The 22,395-nt window shown below is 41.0% G+C and overlaps 1 protein-coding gene across 7 annotated transcripts in view, besides 1 other annotated feature; it reads left to right on the forward strand.

The window, feature by feature from the left end:
• The window catches only part of PTPRG (protein tyrosine phosphatase receptor type G), a 736,039-nt gene that overhangs the window by 372,356 nt on the left and 341,288 nt on the right, over window positions 1-22,395 (forward strand). The gene's annotated exons all lie outside the window — the stretch shown is intronic.
• Window positions 12,724-13,445: an enhancer, noted in NCBI's record as "OCT4-NANOG hESC enhancer chr3:61932324-61933045 (GRCh37/hg19 assembly coordinates)". NCBI's record gives its function as "activates a minimal SCP1, AML or CMV promoter by ChIP-STARR-seq in primed H9 embryonic stem cells {active_cell/tissue: H9 hESC(primed)}" and the evidence as "EXISTENCE:reporter gene assay evidence [ECO:0000049][PMID:30033119]".

Genomic DNA, 22,395 nt, shown 5'->3' on the forward strand with positions numbered 1-22,395 from the left:
AAGCCCAGGGAAAGCAAATTTCCTCTCTGCAAGTGAGCCACATGTGGGTCAGGCAGGCTCATGCTTTCGCTCCTGCACCTGTGTTTTCGTGTCTGAATATTTTATGGGCTTAAAGATGCAGCTACAATTTCCTCACTTTGTGGGGACATTTAGCTTGTTCTACAGGGTGTTTAGACTTTCAGTGGTGTGGGGATGTGTATTCTAACAAGAACAAAAGAAAGGTGCCAGTCTTAAGCGTAGCTCTCATCACATTAAGTTTTATATATGCATATATAGAGATGTGTATATATTTTTAAATGTATTAATTAGAATCACTGACACTGCATATTCTGGTGTATGTCAGAATGCCCTAGGAGATGGATGCTTAAGTAATCTGCAGAGTGGATTATATCCTTGCATTTGCTCTAAAACTTGGATTTGCTAATACTGACTGTGCTATTCACAAAATTTAAATATCTTTTCTCGGTGTGTGCATTTGCAATCCTGTTTTTCTGCTGTAACAATAGTCCAAGTAACAGTGACTTTTAACGATATGCTGAATTTTGTTCTCATCTAGTAGTCTGTCCTCCAGCAATTTAGGGCTGATCTGGTGACTATGTTGAGTTGATCCTGACTACGCCTATCTTGCTCCTGTGTTGTCCACCACCTGTCTCATGATCACAGGTGGGGACCCCAGTTCCTGCCATCATATCTGCATTGTGGCCAGCTGGAAGGTACAAAGTATAGAGTATGTCTCATTCCCTTTTAAGAGTGTGTGCTGCTCCCACTCTTGTCCTATTGGTCAGAATTTATTCACATGTACATCCCTAGCTGCAAGGGAAGCTGGGACATGTAGTCTTAAACTTGGGTGGCCAGCAGCCACTGACCTGGGGGTTCTATTGCTTATTTTGTTGAAATAAATTGACATAGTCTTCTGACCATGGGGAGCTTATTTGTCCTGTTGTGTATCATGCCCCTGGTGCTCAAATCAGTGGCTGGCACATCATGATGCATGGGATGCGTTGCTTAAATGAATGAATGAAATGGAGTTCATCTCCTCTTTGGAACTTCTTGAGTGCGGAGTTCCCAACACGTCCCTTCCACCTTCCTTTCACAGCTCTTCTTTCCATTCCAGGGGTTTACAGACATCCTCCTCTCCTTCCCACACATGTGCCTTTACTGGCTCTGAAGAGAGCTGCCACGTGCAGCCCCCATCTCCGCCTCTCCCTACACCAGGCCCAGCACCCACATTCCCTTTAACTGTTGTGCATTTTCATAAGCTGAGGTCCTTCCCCCATCCTTGTCTCTCACCTCCAAACACATTCCAGTTTGCTCATTTATTCTTTAAAAGTGTGATCTACATAATGGAGCACAGCTTCTCAGTTTTGCAAGTAACAGATGGACAGAATACGTCCTGCTTCGTGTGCTTTTGATGGACATCCTGTCTTCTCCACACTCTTGACTACAATTTCTTTCTGTGTGGCACAGAACATGGCAAAATTACGCACGTGCACACATACAGACTCACACACCCAACCCCACCAAAAATACATATTAAACAAACTTCATGGCAGGCAGAAGAAAGGAACTTTCTTGATCTTTCTCCAGATGCAAAAAGAAACACTACCTAAAGCAGTGTAGACAGTTTAGGCATAAGGGCAGCTGGACAGTGGTACATTTTATACCACTGTTAGTATACTTGTGCCATGTAGGGCTTTATATTGACCACTGACTTTACTGCTGATATCTTTTTTTAATCGTATTCTTATTCTCGGAGTCCCTTACCTTTTTTTTTTTTTAATGTTGTAATTTCTGTATATTTGCAAGATGTCCCAAATCCAAGAAGTCATCATATATATAAAGTATGTATATCTTAGAATTATATTAATATTAGCCAACCTCACCTAATCCTGTCTGTCCTGGGCATTGTTCTGAGCACTTCATATAGAATATTTAATTTAATAACTGCTTGGTTTAAATGATGGTGTTCCCTTCAAAATGCGTGTTGAAACTTAATCCCCAGTGTAAAAGTATTAAGGTGTGGCCTTGGATGGTGATGAGGTCATGAGGACTTTGCCCTCATGAATGGTATTACTACCCTTATAAAAGAGATTAAAGTTGAATGAAGTGCTGTCTTGCCCTTCTATTCCCTCTGCCACATGAGGAAACAGCGTTCCTCTTCTCTGGAGATTGCAATACAAGGCACCATCTTGGAAGCAGAGAACAGCTCTCATCAGACATCAGTCCTGTTGGTGCCTTGACTTTGGACGTCCCATCTTCTAGGACCATGAGAAATAGATTTCTGTTCTTTATCAATTACTCAGTTGCAGGAATTTTGTTACAGCAGCACAGACAGACTAAGACAATTACCCTGTGGGACAGGTACTAGTTCTATCCTCTTTAAGTGAGGTGAGTAACTTGCCCATGAATTCTTTTCAGAGATGAGATTCAGTACCAGGTGACTTGAATCCAGAACTCATGCTCTTGAGTAATCATTAAGCTCTACTGTATTTATTTGTGACTTTTTTAGCTTGGCTTTGACCAGGTGGGACCATGGGCATCATCATAGTTTACTGTGCATCAAATAAATAAAAGCCAGAAAGTAGTCACATTCAACCCCCTACCCGCCCCCTACTGGTCAAAACAGAGCTGTGCTCGGTCTGCTGGAGGTACAGATGAGGGCCAGAGCAAGAGCTGTGTGTTGAGATGGGCTAATTTTCATTGTAGCTGTGTAGCTCCAATTTTTTCCTTAACATGTCTACTATGAAAGGGGATCATCGCTTTTTAGTTCTTCCTAACACTGTGAGGGCTTTAGGTTATGGCGTCTGAAATCCTTACGTTTTGGATGTGGAAATTGTGTGTTATTTATAGCTGACACATGAAGAGAATTACCAGAAGTGATAATGGAGGAGGAATACCTTCTGTGATTTTACTTTATCAAAAGCAACCACTGCGAAAACATCCCCTTATAAAAGCCATATGAGGGAATAGGATGTTTGGCTTAGAAGCAGAACTTGATCCTTGAAGAAGTTCACACAAGTGATGTACACAGCAGAAATGCTTTTAATCCCCACAGGTATCTTGCGAATCAGATGACCAGGCAGAGGAGGCTTTTTTTTGAGACATCCCTCGGGGATGCTATGAACTAAAATGGGAATCGTCTTCTCTAAATGTAGTGCACCGTTGCCCTGTCATTTAGATGAGATGTAGCATCAAAGGAAATCACTGGGGATATTCAGTTGCTAAAGTCTTTCCTTGAAAGATGCAAACCTTCAAGGAGACCTAACCTGTGTGAGAGATTGCTTTCTGGAGAGTCAACCTAGGCAAGCAAAGTGCTTGAATATGCCCACCAGATTTGGCGTCCCTGGCCTTCCTTTTAATGTGAGAACTGCTGGCCATTTCATTTTGACCCTGGTTTCACTGCTGTCGCAAAGTGTCCTTTTGAATCCCGTGGTAGCTTGTGCAAGGTTCCTCGTGCTCTTTCACATCCCAGACATGGAGTTACCATTCTCTTGTAAACCAAACCCAGTTTCTGGGTGAGGCTGTCTCTAGATATTATCAGATCCCAAGTCTTAGAAGCCATTTGAAATACCCTTCATTGAGGATTTAAGGCTGATCGTATTTTCATTATTTAGAACAAATGCTTAAAAATAATGTAAAACCAACTTTACTCTGATGAAGGCAGCTGAAGCCATCATACTTCATAAGTTCTCTCTTCTTTTCTTTGAGGCCTGGAAACTTGGAAACATTTTCACAGCTTCTTGCTTATTTTAGAGGCAAGAAACATGCAGTCAGAGTGATCACAGTTTCAGATTTATAACAGGTGACGGCAAAAGGAGAACATTGTGCTCATCAAACTGCTGTGCCACTTCCACCTCCCAGCTCCAGTATATTTATTAACGTCTTTTGAGTAAAGTCTTAAAATTATCTATTAAGCACAATTTTTCACCCTTTCTGATAGATCACTGGTGCTGCCAAGAAGCTTTTAAGCTGTAAATGAAAAGGAAAAACAATCCTGCATTTGATCTTGGGGTTTTTTTTTTTCCCCCTTCAGTGAATTATCTTAGAACAGAATTTTGCCATGAGTGCTTTTATTGGAATTTAAAACTATAATACCGACTTTTCCTTCAGTCTGGGCTTAAGGTTTCCCACTGTTCTAAGACTGCATTTGAAGTTATCTATCTTATCTTAGTGAAAGTTTAAAAAATACTCTTCCTTTGCATTTAAATTTCTTTCTCTGTGGTTAACTAAATCCGAATGAGTCATTTTATCAAAGCTTTAACATGTATGTTTGTTTTCTGGGTAGCTTATCACCCCTTTTTCTTTTTCCTTTTTTTTTTTTTTTACTTTAAAAGTTTTTTTATATTTGGTTGGATAACCACATGATACGGGTGTATAAAGTTGTTTGTATGACCATAAACTTTGAAAATGGGTTTTAAGAAGGCATTTGCACCATCTTATCCTGCAAATTAGTAACTTTCTGATCTGGAAAAGGACTTTTGCTATGCCTCATACATTTCCCTGGAGTTTGATGTAAATTGAAATTTATTATGAATCAAATTCAATTTTAGGTGTTCTTGAGGAATCTGTAAATGCCAGTTGAGAGGGGAAATTGATTTTGCGTTCAGCCCTCTATGATGAATATCCCCGTGTTTGACACGTGTAAGTGTTCCGCTTATGTTAGTTATTTTTCCTAATAACCTTTCAGAAGTGTCTGCTAATGAAAGTTGTACCTGTTTTTTTCACTTAAGGTGCGGTCAGTTGAAATATTTGCTGTTGCTCTATATTTTATGCAGAGTCTAATGCTTACGCTACGTTATAAACTGAGTCTAAATGGAAAATGAAAATTTTCATTATAGTTGTCTTTTTTTCTAGGAGAAATTAACAGGTACATCTTCTGGAATGAGAAAAAAGTAATAGCATTGCTTAACATTTTCACTATTCAATATCCAGGTATAATTGGTTTCGAGATTTTTGCTTTGGGGGTGAAATATTTCATGAGCGGCCATTAATTCCCATAATAACTGATGTAAAAACTGAGCTTTATGAATGGAAAAGTAGATTCAGACATCAATCATATTTGCTTGGGATCACCCCCTGCAGTTCAGCATAAATCTGTGATTTCCATTATAATACGTTTAAATTACTGCAGCACCTGGGAAAACCGGAACTGGGTACAGGCGCGATGTCCACACTCACCATTTTGACAGTTGTTTGGATCCCGTTCAAACTGGCAGTCACACTTGTAGTGTGTTTAGGAGCAGTTTTTGCACAACTTAAGGAAGCATTTAAAAATAAAACACTGTTTTCTGATAGAAAGCAGCCCTATATTTACTCACACGAGGTTTGCAAAGCTCAGTGGAATAATTTGACATGAAGTGCCTCTAAGCAGACCTCAAACAAGCTCCTTGCCTCCCATAAGCTTAGAAAGAGGATGCTTACATAGCAAAACTGAGTAAATATGCACAGGGCTCATAAAAAGTCGTAAGTGATGGAACCTAAAGAAAAAGCCAGTGCTTAATAAAATCGCAGTGTGAAGATAGATTGCTAAATCTGTCATCCTAGGAAAATGCCAGGCAAATACACAGAAACTGCTGAAGATTTTATAAGATTGTTTAAGGTTTAGCCATGTAAAAGAAGTAAGGTGCTGCATTTTGGGAGAAGATAATCCATACTCTATTTCTGAAATGTTGGGTTTCTAGTTTTCAATAATAGTACATGAAATGGTTTGAGAGTTATATTTAACTTTATTCTCCTGCATTGATCCAAAAGGTCCAATAAAATGTTAGATTTTATTATTTGAGAAGTAATCATTTATTTTGCAAAGCTAAATAGGGAACTCTGTTTTGCCCTTTCATGAAGAGATGGAGTTTCTGCAGCTGGAGCACCATGTGCAGCTCCATGGGCTTTGCAATGTCCACCCATGTTTGATGGAGAAAGAGAGTAACATTTTGGATAACTTTTGAATTGAATGGAAAGAAGTATTGGTGGGGTCCATGTCTTGGCTTCCTTACTGACTTGTCTTTTTTTTTTTTTTTTTTTTTTTTTTTTTTTTTTTTGAGACAGTCTTGCTCTGTTGCCCAGGCTGGAGTACAGTGGCGACCTATCTCAGCTCACTGCAACCTCTGCCTCCCAGGTTCAAGCAATTCTCCTGCCTCAGCCTCCTGAGTAGCAGGGATTACAGGCACCTACCACCATGCCTGGCTGATTTTTGTATTTTTAGTAGAGACAGGGTTTTACCAGGTTGGCCAGGCTGGTCTCGAATTCCTGACGTCAGGTGATCCACCTGCCTCGCTGGGTGGATGAAGTGCTGGGATTACAGGCGTGAGCCACCGTGCCCAGGCACTGACTTGTTTTTAATGTGGTTGCATTACTTACTTTTCTGCACCTTCTTTAACTTTAAATGAAAAATAACCTTTCCTAGCAAAATACTGAGTGCGTAATTAGTAGATAGGTGAGATAGCACTGCTGGCAGAGGTCATGCATGAATGAATGAAACTTGAGAAATGCTGGACTTCAGAACAATTAATCTCATAGCAGTGAGGATACTCTGAAGGAAGTGCCAAGATTTTTTTTCTCCTTCACTGATTCCTCCTTTCTGCCCTGGTTGTTTTTGCATCTGATTTGGCATGTGCTCTGTGTGTCTTGTGATGATTTCTTGTTTTGTTCTCTTGGTAGAATTACACATTTCTCAAGGGGATTTTATTCTGGTTTTTATTGATTTCTATGGATTCAGTAGATGCTTTTATTTATTTATTTATTTATTTTTTATTTTTTTGACAGAGTCTCGCTCTGTTGGCCAGGCTGGAGTGCAGTGGCGCGATCTTGGCTCACTGCAAGCTCCGCCTCCTGGGTTCATGCCATTCTCCTGCCTCAGCCTCCCAAGTAGCTGGGACTACAGGCGCCTGCCACCATGCCCGGCTAATTTTTTTGTATTTTTAGTAGAGATGGGGTTTCACCGTGTTAGCCAGGATGATCTCGATCTCCTGACCTCATGATCCGCCCGCCTCGGCCTCCCAAAGTGCTGCGTTAGATGCTTCTTATATGATGGTCAAACCAATGTGGTCTGGTGGAAGGAGTTCTGTAGTTGAGATCAGACACATTGACATTCTGATCCCAACAGCAGCCATTACTTATTGACTCTTCTTAGGCAAGTTAATTTACAGCTCTGTGCACTCTTCTTCCTGTATTAAATGGAAAGAATACTGCCATCTCACAAACTTGTTGTGTGGATCCAAGGTGATAATCATTCATGAGTGCAATAATTGCCATACTTGTCATAATAATCCAGCAACCATTGTCCTGCAGTCGTCCAACATGCTTCATCCATGTAAAGGGCTTCGCCCAGTGCCTGAAATCTATGACTCTCATTATTATGATTCTCTATCAGGGATAATCTCAGAGAGTCAGATGATCAGTTAAGAGGTCAGTGATTTAGGCCAGGCATGGTGGCTCACGCCGGTAATCCCAGCGCTTTGGGAGGCTGAGGCGGGCAGATCATGAGGTTAGGAGATCGAGACCGTCCTGGCCAACATGATGAAACCCCGTCTCTACTAAAATACAAAAAATTAGCCGGGCATGGCGGTGCATGCCTGTAGCCCCAGCTGCTTGGGAGGCTGAGGCAGGGGAATCTCTTGAACCCAGGAGGCGGAGGTTGCAGTGAGCCGAGAGCGCCACTGCACTCCAGCCTGGGCGACAAGCAAAACTCCATCTCAACAAAACAAAACAAAAAAACAGGTCGTGATTTATAGATGCCATAAAATATGACATTTTGCTGAACTAACCATTGAAATTTGATCAATAGTCTCCCTCCAACTTCCCCTTTTTTTGGTCTTTAAAAACAGTTTTTTTCATTCTTAAGAAGTTTGACTCACACTCTATTGGCTTATGCTTTGTTTATAAAGAAATATTTGATTTGCTAACCAGCATGTAAGAATAGATTTTTTTTTTTCTTTAGAAAGCCAGAATGCTGGCCAGGTGCGGTGGCTCATGCCTGTAATCCCAATACTTTGGAAGGTCGCGGCGGGTGGATTACCTGAGGTCAGGAGCTGGAGACCAGTCTGGCCATCATGGTGAAACCCTGTCTCTACTAAAAATACAAAAAATTAGCCAGGCGCGGTGGCAGGCATCATAATCCCAGGTACTTGGGAGGCTGAGATAGGAGAGTCACTTGAACCCTTGTGGTGGAGGTTGCGTGAGCGGAGATCGCGCTACTACACTCCAGCCTGGGCAATAGGGCGAGACTCTGTCTAAAAAAAAAAAAAAAAAGGAAGGAAGTTAGTTTTGCATCATAAACAGAAATTGGCCATGGCCATGTTGGAGCTATTCCCTTTACCTGGGTGCTCTCCCAGGAGCCATGGTCCTCAGCCATCTGTACTGCCTTCTAACTCAGAGGCAGTTTCTATTTGTCACCACATTTGCTGTCATTTTCCAAACAGCAGAGTTAAGAGGAAGTGAAATGCCTATTTTCTTCATATACCTATTAAATAAGAGAAAACAAAAATTAGACCAAGCCCCATTCACTCATGTGAGTGTACCCCATGGCCCTTTTTTCATTTTGTCTATATTATTGAGTCAATTTTAGGTTCAACAAATATTTATTGTTCACTTCATAATGAGACCTGTGTTAGGCACATTTGCATATCTTATTTAATTCTCCTAACCGTTATTTGAGATAGTTAATGATGATGACCATGAATTCACTTTTTTTAAGAGATGAAGAAACTGAGACTCAGAGAGGTTTGTGAACACAGCTATTACACAGCTATTAGCCAGAAGAGCTAAGTCTTAAACTCTGACCTGGACAATTCTGTTACATTTATGTTTACTGTAACATAGAAACTTTGCCCCAAATCTCAAAAGTATTGCTTCTCTATTAAATGTCTTTTTTAAAATTGTCCCAGAGAATAGAAAATATAATTTTTATATGACTTAGCAAACTTCCTTCCCAAACATGATATGAAGAAATGAGTGAAATCTCCTTTAAATAGACATCTCAGTCTTTCTAAGTATTGTATGCCAGTAGGAAGAAGGCTAGTATTCTCCCTAGGATATGCAGGCCAGTGTATACAGATTTGTCTCACATCTGGGTGCAGATCTCCTTGCCAGGTGCAGAATGGGGACTTTACGCCAGGTATGCTTGTTGGTCATTATAAAGTTCAAGTGAATTGTGTATAAGTCTTTGTGTTTTCATGACAACTTTTTTTTCCTGATGTTCAGGTACCAAACACAGAAAAATCCTTACGTGAAAAACAGATACAGATTCTTGTAGTAGGAAGGGAATTGCATTAGGGGTTGGAGTTCTGGAGTTTTTGGTCTAACCACATCCTGTCTTAGGAATTTTGCCATATCAGTTGTTGTGAACCTGTTTTCTAAAAATGCTGACAAAAATACATGTAATAGGCTGGACGTGGTGGCTCACGCCTATAATCCTAGCACTTTGGGAGGCTGAGGCAGGTGGATCACCTGAGGTCAGGGGTGTTCGAGACCAGCCTGGCCAACATGGCGCAACTCCGTCTCTACTAAAAAATATCAAAAGTAGCCAGGCCTTTAATCCCAGCTACCTGGGAGGCTGAGGCAGGAGAATCGCTTGAACCCAGGAGGCAGAGGTTTCAGTGAGCCAAGATCGCGCCACTGCACTCCAGCCTGGGCAACAGAGTGAGACTCTGTCTCAAAATAATAATAATAATTTTTACCTTGTAAGTTTACATTGCCTGGGCAATACTGAAGAACACATGGCAGTGAAAAAGTTCTTAATACAGGGGAGCTTTTATCATGTTAATGATTTACTGTCACCATCATGCCCTAAAATATTACTCTCTTCATGGGGTACGTCAAAATTTCTTATACGAGTCACTTAGTGTGGGTCCCTTTGAAAAAGCATGAATGAAATGGCAGGGCCTATGCTCCCAGAGGATTGGATAACTGCTGCTTAACTAATGGGATAGAGGTCATCACCCTCCCTAGTCTGAAGAATAGAGAAAACAGAGAAGCCAGAGTGTAGGTAGCAGTTTCAGATCTGGGTTATCTCCTTATACTTCCTTTAGTTCTCTTACATTAAAAGTAATTTAACTTTTTTTTCGTTGAATATATATTGAGCAGGTGCTATATGCCTTGGTTCCAGCAGCAAACAAAGTACCACATTTTGTCAGTTACATCAGGGTTTCTCAACCTCAACACTATTGACATTTTGAGCTCATTTTTTGTTGTTGTTGTAGGGGCTTTCCTGTGCCTTTTAAGGGAGTTCTGCAGCATCCTGGGTCTCTACCCACTAGATAACTGCTGTGACACCTCCCATTTGTGACAACGAAGCCTCCCTAAACATTGCCCAGATGTTCATTGGTGTGCAGAACCACCCTGGCTGAGAGCCACTGAGTTGTTGGATGTACAGTTTTCACATATTGATGTCCCTGTGATCGGAGCGCATCTTACAACTGATGCCCTCCTGTTCTTAAGATTGGCAGTGGGATTCTTCTTGGCTTGTGGCATTGTACAGCAGGTGGACACCGTGCTTCCATCGTCTTCCTCATTTCCCCTAGCCCCTTCTCAGAGCTCACAGTCAGCTGGCTGCAGTGGAAGTCTGGGGATTAGATGAAGGTGAATTTAAGTCCCTCTCAGTTTGAAGAGCTCTATGACTTTATCACAGTCTGAAATTCCCCTTTTCACAGGGCCAGACAGCCTCGCGCTACATGATAATCTGTTTGTGAGTTCGAGATCGTTGGATTCATTAGGGAATGACTAGGATAGTTGTCAGCCTCTGCTTTGTCAAAGTATAATCTTGAAAAAAAAATTTTCTTTTTCAATTTTAATATAGTCTATCCCACTGGAATGTACTATCACTGGCAATAAACTGGCTCTGGTTCTTTTTAAAGAAATTACTGTTACGCTGTAGCATTTGTCTGTATAATTTTAGTTATTGAATTAAAATCTTTTGGGACCCCAACAGGATGAGATCATTGGCCAGCTGGCTTCCTCCCACCTGCACCTGGACTGAAATTCCCCGTGGCATTAGAGGTGTTTCGTAAGGTGCTCCCTGCTGTCTGTCCTACAGATTGCAGTGGCTCTGCTGGAAAAGAACGGAATTCTATGCAAGTTGCGTGTGTCATGAAGGTCTCTGCACAGTGGGTGTGTTTCTTTGTCGTCTTTTCTCCACTCTGCTCTTCTGTGAAATGTGCCAGCAGTGGACAGAACAGGGGCAGAGGTGATCAGTGACCATTGCACAGAATATCAGTAAGTGTTGTAAGGTATATAGTCTTGGCCAACAAATTGTAAGCAAAATACCAGGAACTTCCTAATCTAGTAGGAAATTTTGTATGCTTTTGACAAACATCTGATCCTACTGACACTGAAAGTCCTTAGAAGGAAAAACTTGAGGCCAGGTGCTATGGCTCACGCCTGTAATCTCAGCACTTTGGGAGGCCAAGGTGGGCGGATCACCTGAGGTCAGGAGTTCGAGACGAGCCTGGCCAACATGGTCAAACCCTTTCTCTACTGAAAATACAAAATTAGGTGGGCGTGATGGTAGGCGCCTATAATCCCAGCTACTCGGGAGGCTGCGGCAGGAGAATTGCTTGAACCCGGAAGGTGGCGGTTGCAGTGAGCCAAGATGGCGCTACTGCACTCCAGCCTGGGCAATAGGAATGAAACTCCGTCACCAAAAAAAAAAAAAAAAAAAAAAAAAAAAATGGAAAAAACATAAATGGAGGTGAGCTGGAAGATTGAGTGAACTCATCTGAGCCAGAAAGGATACATCTACAAATTTTTCTGGGAGAGTATAATAGCAGGCTGCAAACATAAATATGTCATCTGTACTTAAGTAATTTTGCTAAATTAATAAGATCAACAATGGCTACCATTTAGAGAACACATTGCATAACTAGGCACTGTCCTGAGAACTCTGAATATAAAATGAATACTGACAGTGACTCTGAGAGGAGGCATGGCAGCAGACAAGACGGCTATTTCTGTCCCATTAGGTGAGAAAAACGAAACACAGAGACGTGAAGTGGCTTGCCCAAGCTATATGCTCATTAAACATCACTGGTGAAATGAGCTTTCCTCTGCTCAGCCAACTTTCTTGATTGATTGATTCATTCATTCATTTTTTTTCTTTACTATTATCTCTCTCTTTGTATGAGACTACAAATTGTTATAGTAATTGACTTATTGATACAGTTACTAATTATTTAAACAGCACAAAATTAAAAACTTGGCCACAATATTATTAACACACAGCTGGGGATTAATATTTTGTGTCTTCCTCATACAATCCCAAAGTCAACTTCACCTTCCCTAGCAATAAATAAAATCACACTGGATAATTTTAAAATTTTCTATCAAATGTGTGATCAAGTCTGTGCTCTGACAGCAACTCTACAATTGGCAGGAGCTGAGAAACAAAATACATTTTTTAAAGTAATAAATAAAAATGTTAATTCCTGCCATGCCTGTGAGGTTTGAAGCTGGGAACAGAGAAGGATTTAATTTAGGGAACAGAGAAAGATTTAATTTAGAAATGACTTCATAAAGACTTAGGTTCTAATTAAGAAGACTGAAAGAAGAGCATCAAACCCCACAGCCTACATTCTTCTGTGGGCCTGTTTGATAGTGAGCTCTCCTGCCTTCAGAAGTGCCCTCTGTACTACATAGATTGTGCTGTGCATGGTTGAATTTACATGGGATGCCTATCTACAGGTAAACCAAGTACAGGTATGATATTCCATTCCAGTGGATTTAGCTCCATCTTGATTTTGTAAATGAGATGCCAAAAATACCTGTGTTCAGTAATTAGTGTCGCTTTCTGCATCAGTGTGCTATTTTGGCATTGCTCTCTTCTGTTGCAGAAATTTGAAGACATCTGTTTACTTTCAACTCTCAGAGACCTTTTTAAGCACACTGAATTTGTAGAGCATGAGCTTGTTCTTATGTTAGAGCTCCTTACGGTATCTTCCCTCTTCTAGAACTTTTTAACAAAATTATTGAAAATCAGTGAAAACATTTGAACAAATTTAGACATGGTATGATGAGAAATGACAGCTCTTATTAAAAGGAAGAGTGTTCTGCTAAAATCTCTTCTTGGGGGATGTATGTTTGGGGTTAAGTAAGGAAGAGTTTCAGAGGTTTCCAGCAGCGATGTAATCCTTTATAGAAAAGGCCCATCGTTCTTTTAACAATAGCCAAAGTGGACCGACCAGGGTGGCAGCGTTTTCATTAGCAATGATAATTAGTCCAGCTTAATCACGTGGGCATTTGAGCTTTTGATCCCATGCTAATTTGTGGACCTGCATAAGGAGATAAACTAAGTGGACTAAAGGTCAGTTTTGTGGTTGGCCTGTGTAATGAGCATCTGTTCAAAGTATATAAAAGACTTGTTTAAAAATTGACAACAATTTATGAAACCAGTTACAATGTAAAGGATGGTACTTAATTTATACCTGAGAAATTATACATACAAAATACGTGACATAAGGAAGGGTTCATTTCAGCAGCAATGGTTCTGACCGGTGCCAGGGCAATATGGGAATGATAAATTGAGATAAAGTGCACAGAGTATGCAGTGAAGGAATGTCAGTGATATATAGGAAATCTGAAGCTTTGGAGGTTGCCCAGATGGAGGTGACTTGTATCCGTTAGGATTTATTCAGGCATGTATAACAGAAAAGCCAGGACAAGCAGGGTGGAAGCAAAAAATAGGAACTGATTGACTGAAGTAACTGAAAAGTCTGGGGCTGGTTCTGGCCTTTGGCTTCCTGCCTCTGCCTGGGTTGGCTTCCTTTCTAGGCAGGCCCTTTCTTCGTGGTGGCCCCTGGCATTACTGGGCTGAAATCGTCTTATAGTTGCAATGCCAAAGGAACAAAATCTTCTCTCCCTAAAATTTCTTGCAAAAGTCTTATCCTTGGACCAGTCACCGCATCTAGAGGGAAAAACTTGTCTAATTGCCAAGTGTGAATGTCTGCCTGCCTCCTTTTTCAGAGGAGGCCCTGACCAGACCCTGCTTGCCTTTCAGAAGGACTGAATATGGAATGAGGGGAATAGTTTCTTAAAAGGAAATCTGAGTGGGTCCTCAGAATGAGAAGAATTGGTGCTGGCCAGGCACGGAAAACACGTATCCCATAGGAAATCAAGAAGGAAACTCTAAGGCCAGGCGCAGTGGCTCAAGCCTGTAATCCCAGCACTTTGGGAGGTGGAGGCGGGTGGATCACCTGAGGTCGGGAGTTCAAGACCAGCCTAACCAACTTAGAGAAACCCGGTCTCTACTAAAAATAAAAAAATTAGCTGGGTGTGTTGGCACATGCCTGTAATCCCAGCTACTCGAGAGGCTGAGGCAGGAGAATTGCTTGAACCCAGGAGGTGGAGGTTGCAGTGAGCCGAGATCGCTCCATTGCATTCCAGCCTGGGCAACAAGAGTAAAACTCCGTTTTACAAAAAAAAAAGAAGGAAACTGTTGACTGCTCATAAATGCAGTCATTCACTCCCTCATCCTTCCTACCAAGAATTATTGAGCACCTGCTATGGCCAGGCATTGTTCTAGGTGCTGGGAATTCAGTAGTGCACCAAACACCTCAAATTTCTTTCTTCATGAAGCTTAAAACATTTTTCATGCTAGTGTTATGGGGGGCGGTCAAGGGTGGGTTATGTCCTCCAGATATGGAGTGATTGGTTGCTATAGCTACAATAAAAGGCAGAGGGGTTGACGGATTCTGTAGTGGGAAAAGTAATCTAGGGAACAGGAGATTCTATTAGAGAAAAGGAAGGGAGGGATGGAGAGAGGTTTGAATACCTCCAAAGTGGAGTCTGACTTTGGGTACCTGGAGTATTGTATCAAGCACAGAGGGATTTAGCGTAGGTGTGTAAAGAGCCTTTTTGTTAATTGGGAGTGAGAGTTAATGTATTTACCTTTGAGAATGCAGTCATGATACTGTGTTATTTTAGATGCTTTGCCTGCCCTGGAAGAAGCACTGAGTTGATGATCTAATAGCTTGTTACCACTGTTAATGTCTATGATTATCTTTGTCACAGTGGGAATATAGCTGTCAGGGAAAGAGAAAGGCATTTCTTCTTCACTTTCAGTAATCGAGCTCAAACTGCTGACACTCCAAGGAAAAGAGAGAAGGCACTTAACAAAAAAGACAAGCCAAGAAAAAAAAAAAAAAGCCATGGGACCTTAGCATGTGATGGCTTTTAATGGGAATGCTCAGATGGTCTTGCCAACGGCCTGGTTTTCGTCACCAAGGGATTAGTAGAGTATGACCTGATGGCTTAAAAAAACAACTCAAAAAAACCAAATCAACCAACCAAACAAAAAAACCAGGTGTGCTGGGGTATTTATAACCGAAGGAAAATGGATTTAAATGAACAGATGGAAAAATAAAAATAATGCAGTTTTTCTTGTTGATGGTAGCGTAATGAGGATTAAATAAAAATGTAGCCTTTTATGTTTTGAGGGGTGCAATATGAAGGAGAGGCTCTGATACAGGCTGTCTCTTTAAGGAAAGAAGCAACAAAAATTAATTATGTAGAGGAGAATCAGGGTCTTGAGCATTGGTGGTGGAGAAACCACAATTGAAGTGAGGCTTTGGGTAGCGTTTACTATGTGCCACATGCCTCAATGAGGGTCTAGTATATTTTACCTTTTATGCAACTCACCTGCCTGGAAAACAGTATTGTCCTAATTTCACATGGGAGGAATTTGTAACAGAGAGGGGTTAAGCAACCAAGTTTCCATGACTGTCAAATGCCAGCTCAGGTGCTGAAACCTAAGACATTTTTTCCCCTTCCTAAGCCTTTGGGTTTCTGTTTTGTTTTTAAAGCCTTTGGATTCTTTGTTTTTTTTTTTTTTGTTTGTTTGTTTTGGAGAAGAAGTCTCGCTCTGTCACTCTGTCACCCAGGCTGGAGTGCAGTGGCGTGATCTCGGCTCACTGCAACCTCCACCTCCTGGGTTCAAGCAATTCTCCTGCCTCAGCCTCCTGAGTAGTTGGGACTACAGGCACCCGCCACCGTGCCCGGCTAATTTTTGTATTTTTAGTAGAGACTGGATTTCACCATGTTGGCCAAGATGGTCTCAATCTCTTGACCTCATGATCCGCCTGCCTCGCCCTCCCAATGTGCTGGGATTACAGGCATGAGCCACTGAGCCCGGCCAAGCCTTTAGTTTTTAATCACTGCCTTCCAGGCCCCTCCTCCAGAAAAATCCCTGAATGGCCTTGCATTACTAGTAATATAAAGTTTTAAAATACTTTGTGTGGCTTACAAGGTCCTTTTTAGCTTTCTCTGGGAGACAGTTTCCAGGCCTGTGCTGAATTCTTTTGTCTTTCCTCACATTCTTTTCCCCCAGCTCTCCCCCATCTGACTTTCTGCCATCTTACTTACTTCCTCTTATGCCCCTGCAGTTTTGCTTATACCTGTGTTATGACACCTATGCCTCCAAATTGTCTTTTTCTGAATGCTTGATTGTGAGAACTTCTGGGAGTTCCAGTCTTGTGGAAGTTGTATCTTATGTTTTTTGCCCCCATGATTTTAGACATAGTAGGTGTTCAATGAAGTAAATGCTGAAAGAAAACTATAAATGGTAGGTTTCAGAGGGTTAATTGTTCTTGGTATTTCTTTCAGACAGAAGCCCAGAGGAACTTTAGGAGCAGCAACCATGCCTTAAATGGTTTTTTTTTAATACATTTTTTTAAAGCATTGGTTATAGGTTCTTTCTGTACAGTTGTGTTAGAGGCAGATTACATTTACTTTCTTGCACCTCTGGTAACTGGATAAAAAAACTCTTTGTTCACCTAAGAAGTCTTGCTTCATATTTGAACTGGCTGATTCGACCCCCTTTAGTATTTTACCATGTTTATGCCTGCCACAGGAAATGTGAAAGTGAGTGTTTTTTGATCTTTATGTTTAAATTATTAATGTAAAGTCAAAACTGGGAAGAGAGCTCAGTTGCTGCATGGCATATACGTAAATATTATCCTATTTGAAGAACGGGATTTCTGGAAAAACTCATGGGGATTTTGCAGTAATCCTATGTCCTGTCATGTGGACAAGTATTTCAACCCAGCTGTCCCCAAGACATGCCATCGCTCCCTTTCAGCCCATTGGCTCTGTGGAATTTTCATTGCAGGAACATGGAACTGGTTAAAATATCATTTTCGTAAGCAGTACAAGAAGCTGTAAATTGCCCCCTAGCTCTTAAAGACAGTAAGTCATTCATTGTTAGCAGTGATAATGCATGCCTATACAGATTTTAGGAGTGTTTCAGTTCTGATCTTTCATGTTAGAAAAGTAATCTCCCTTCCCAGTTGAACTCTTTTTCCTAGTTACTAGAATTGGAAGTGGCAATCACTTCTATTCCAGCCTGTCCAGTGTTTTCTGCTGAAACTATTTAGAAAGTGTGATGTCCTAATGGGACCTGGCTAACTTCTTGAACTGTAGCTTTTAATGTTCTTGGTTTTGTAATAATCTCATCCTTTCAAAATTTGCTTGAAATTTGTGTTTCTTTGACCTCTGGTAGACTATACTTTGGTGCCCTTTGTAGAAAGATTTTCTTTGACTCAATATTGTAGATAGTTCAGGCAACCTTTTAAAGAAGTATTCTTCTTTGTATGGTTCTAAGAATTCTTTACACATTTAGTTCTGGATTATTTCGTGGGAAGATGGCTCCCAATCTGCTCTCTCTAGTCTCCTTGAGGGCAGAGGACTCCCCTAATTTCCTGTGTATTTCCAGCGCTTGTTTCCGTGTCTGGTTCTGAGATAGTCTACACAGAGTGTTTTTTGGGGAATGTGCAAGGGTTTCTTCTTGGCAACAATTGACTTCTACTGTTTTACAAAGTACAGAGAGGCTGTGCTCTGTTGCTGATGGGGTTACTTGATTCTGTGAAGTGCTCTTTTCTGACTGGTATTAGCAAGTAACGCAAACCCAAATTTTAAAAATGATAGAATCGGCCTGGCGTGGTGGCTCACGCCTGTAATCCCAGCACTTTGGGAGGCCGAGGCGGGCAGATCACGAGGTCAGGAGATCAAGACCATCCTGGCCAACATGGGGAAACCCTGTCTTTACTAAAAATACAAAAATTAGCTGGGTGTGGTGGTGCGTGCCTGTAATCTCAGCGACTTGGGAGGCTGAGGCAGGAGAATCACTTGAACCAGGGAGTCGGAGGTTGCAGTGAGCTGAGATCACGCCACAGCACTGCAGCCTGGCGACAGATCGACACTCCACCTCAGAAAAAAAAAAAAAAAAAAAAAAAGACAGTATCAGAATCCCAGTCTTCCTCAGACCTCATATGTGGAGGCAGTGCATGTTTAGCAAACCTGGGGCCCTGGGAGCCACCACTGACTGTTAGGACCACTTTAGTGCCTGTGCTGTAAGCCAGGATTTTGAAGTTCTTGGGGGCAATTTTGCTTTAAGCAGTGTTAGGGAACTCTTTACAGGTTTGTGAGCTGGGAGTGACAAGCCATTATTTTATCCACACCAAAGCTTTGAATGATAAAGGGGTTGAACCACTGTCATTCATTAAATTCATTAACTGTTGGAATTCCTCTAAGGATCTATCTGCAGGCCCCTTCTCTTCTCACTCTGTACACGGTCTCCCCAGGCAACTTCATAATGGCTAAAATTACCATCTATTCCAAGAGCATGCTCAAATTGATATTTCTGGCTGAAATCTCCCTTTTGAGATTAAAGCCCTTATCACCTACTTCCTCCTTGACGCCGGAGTTCTCAGGACACCTTAAAACCAAGTTCAGTATCTCTGCCCATTTCTGCTTCCTTACCTTTAAACCTGTTCCTCATTCAGTCCTTTCTGTCCCCAGGAGTGGCAGAAACATAATCCATTTGCCCTAGCCTCAAACCTGGGATGTCTGTCTTCCTCCGTCTACAATTAATCATCAGCCAGCTCCTATCAGTGTCACTTGAATCCATATTTTCTCCCCTACTCACTGCCACCACTAAATAGTAATCTCTTGCCTTCTGTGGAAGCTGTAGAACATCGCTTCAAGTTTACCCTCTTGTGACCCACTGTTGTCTACACAGAAAATCTGGAGGAACCTTTAAAAATGGGAATATGAATGTATCACTCCTGTGTCAGTAACTATTCTGGGACCATTTTTGTGGCTTCCAATAGGTCTCAGGATACATCCTAGGATCCAGCAATGACTTTTCTTAATTTCTCGCCCTTTCTACTTACCGTGCCCCAGGTCAAGCCCACAATTTTCCCTACACCTACTGCTGTCTCTACTCAGAAACGCTTTCCCTCCTCCCAACCTGCTTCACCTGGTTGAATTCTAGCTCCTGTTTCAGAAGCTTAGCTTTAATCACTTCCTTCAGGAGGCTTTTCTTGCCCCCAGCTAAGTCAGAGCCTTACTCTTCTCCCACCCACCCTTGCTCTGCTACTGACAATGAAGAATTGCTTGAAAGGGGCAAAAATAGAGAGAAACTAGATACTGACACAGGCACGCAGGCAAAAGGAATGGTTAGAAAAAAGGAATTGCTGGTCAATTTCGCCATTATTGACTTTGTCCCTTGGTATTTAAAAACCTAGGCAGGTCCCCTAGTATCAGTGCCTCTAGGAACGTGAGCACTTCTGGATGCCGGGCAGCACTTCTAAAGGTTACCTACGGGCTCCCTAGTAAATTAAGGTTGTATATTGCAATGGCAATTAAGCAGTGTAATAAATGTGATTGTTGTGGTGGTTCTATGGGGAGGGGAGACTCTTCCCACAGGCTGGGTTCCTTTCCTGCTGCTTGTCTAATTAACATAATTTCTAGCCCCAAGGCTCACTGCTGCATTTTCTTCTCCAATGTAGAAGGGTGATGGAGATGCACCTTCCATTCTTTCAGCACGTCAGTCATACTAAACTACACTCTGTGAGGGCCAGGGGAAGGAAACAAAAACCCTTCTGTGTATGTAGAGTAAGAAGTTCTACTCTAAAGCACAAATGCTCCAGAGAAAATACAAGGGAGTGTATTTTCTGCTGCTGTACAATCTGCTGCTCTCTTCAGATGCTTTGACCTGTTCCTATAGTGACTTTGTCACATGATTCTGAATTTAAGGATACATCTACTTCCTACATAAGACTAAGTTGCAAACCAGCTGCAAATATGTAGTACTCCCTTGGATGAAGAGTGTTGGATTGGAAATCTGGGGAGAGGACAGACTCATTGGTCTTCCAGTTTGTTTTCCTAGAGATTTCTTGAGAGTAATTTTGACGATGCCCTGCTTGGTTTCATGTTACTTGCTGACTTCAGCACCTAAATCCCTTCCCTGCCCAACTTCCCGCCTCCACCAAACATACTGGTTCCTTACTGAGGTTTGAATGTAGGTTTGAATGTATGCATGGTTCCCTGTTAAAGTTCTCTTGTTTGAGGTTCATTTTTTAATAACCCTTGGCAGTGTGCTGGGAAATGTGTTAGTGGTATTAGTGGTGGTGTGCTGGGAAATGTATTGGTGGTAAATTTGTATATGTTTGTTTAAAGATGAGTGTAATGTTGAGAGAGGTTGGGCTGGTGATGGTGTTGAAACACAGGATCTCAGACTCTTAGGGCTGGGGAAAGCTATTAATACCATCTGCTCTCATCACTTTGATGTTCTGTATAGGGCTGGTTTGTAGAGCCTTTCTATTAGATGAGGTAAGCAATAGGGACCTTCAGAGATTCGTGGGGAGACGTTTATTCTAGCCCTGAAAAAATGGCACAGTATGAGCTGGCAGGATTGGAGAGAGGAGGCTAGACTCAAGCGAAGCCAGGGGGAGAATTTAAGGTGAAGATTTGTCAGACACTGACACTTGTAAGATACTTCCCTTGCAAAACCGCATACTACATCCATTATTTTTCCTTAAGTTATAGCAGTGGTCCACTGGAAATGTTTTGTGGTGATATTATGGGAATTCTGCAGCATAAGGATGAACAGATGAGAATATCTCAATGAGATGTGGAGTTGGAGGACTTAACAAATCAGATGAGAAAGGACAAGCTTGAAGACAGATCAGTTTAGGTAAAAGTGATTGCATGCATGTGAGTTTGATTGAACAGTACCAACATGTCCTGAGCAAGATGGGAAACTTTCCTAATAATCATCTGATGGAATCAAGTTGTGATAAATTGTTATCATCATAGTATTATTTCAATTTAATGGCCATACATAATGGCATCTCCCAGCAATTAATCTAACATTAACCTCCACCTTAGTTATTGAATGTATACTGTGGTTTAGGCTGAAAACATGATGGATAAGAATTACTGACTGCTTTGGATCTGTATACGATATGTCATAGCCTTGAACTTTATTCTGTTCTGCTTCAGTCTTTTTCAGACCTTCCTGTACGAACCCAAGTCTTTATTATTTGTGACCCAATAGCATGTTAGATGTTTTTAACTGGAAAATGTGAATGGCCACTTTTTTTTTCTCTTACGCGAAGTAAATGCTATGTAAATTGATTTTTAATGCTTTTATTGTCCCACAGGAAGATAAAAACCATTAGCTAATGACAATGGTAATGTTTAAATAGTTTTTAATTTTAAAATAATATTTGTAACCTGCAATGCTATGCTATCTCATTTTGGACTTAGCGAAAATGTGTGAGCATCTACAGAAATGTATGTGAATTAGGCTCCAGGAATAAAATTGCATAAAAGTACAACTGTGGCTTAAATCTATTTATATGTATGCTTGGATCCTGAGCAATATAGATACCTGGCTAGAAACCTGGCTGTTCCATTATAACTGAATGTCAAATTCCCCACAGTTAGTCATTATTAAAAATACCCTTGTCTTAAATTTACTTTGGCACGGGAATGTTCTTGGTGATTACCATACTGTGTTACTCTAGGGAGTTAAAGATTTATATTATGTTTCAGTTCTACTGAAATAATAGCATTCGTAGGCACACAGATATCTCTATGTGTATACTGATATACTTGAGAAAGTTCTCCTTTAACAACAGGTGATTTTAATATTATCTGAAAAGAAATAAAAATACTTTGTTTCATAGCACTGTGGAGTGTCAACAGAAATCTTATTTGTTCTTTACTCCTAAAATAGGAGTATAACACAAAGTAATATGTTATGCTCACTAAAGAACAGAATCTCAATTTCAGAGATAGAATTGCCAAGTTCATTATTTCTGGAGAAAGGAACAAATATTAACCCCTTAGTTTAACCTGAAAATGAAAGAGCATGTGGACTAAGGGGAAAAAAATTATATATATATATATATGAAAAATTGACTTTTCTGTCTTTTAGTTGTATGTCTTTATCTCCAACAGATATGTGATTATCCTCCAGAGAGGACCATGAGAATTTATTTTTAATTTTCATTCCGTTAATTACTTGTGTAACATATGTATGTCCCCATAACAGCCAGTGCTCACTCGCGTGCACGCTGTCTCTCTCTCTCTCTCTCTCACACACACACACACGCTTACTACATA

Source organism: Homo sapiens, chromosome 3, assembly GCF_000001405.40.
Source record: "Homo sapiens chromosome 3, GRCh38.p14 Primary Assembly".
In the NCBI taxonomy this organism is placed as follows: Eukaryota; Metazoa; Chordata; class Mammalia; order Primates; family Hominidae; genus Homo; species Homo sapiens.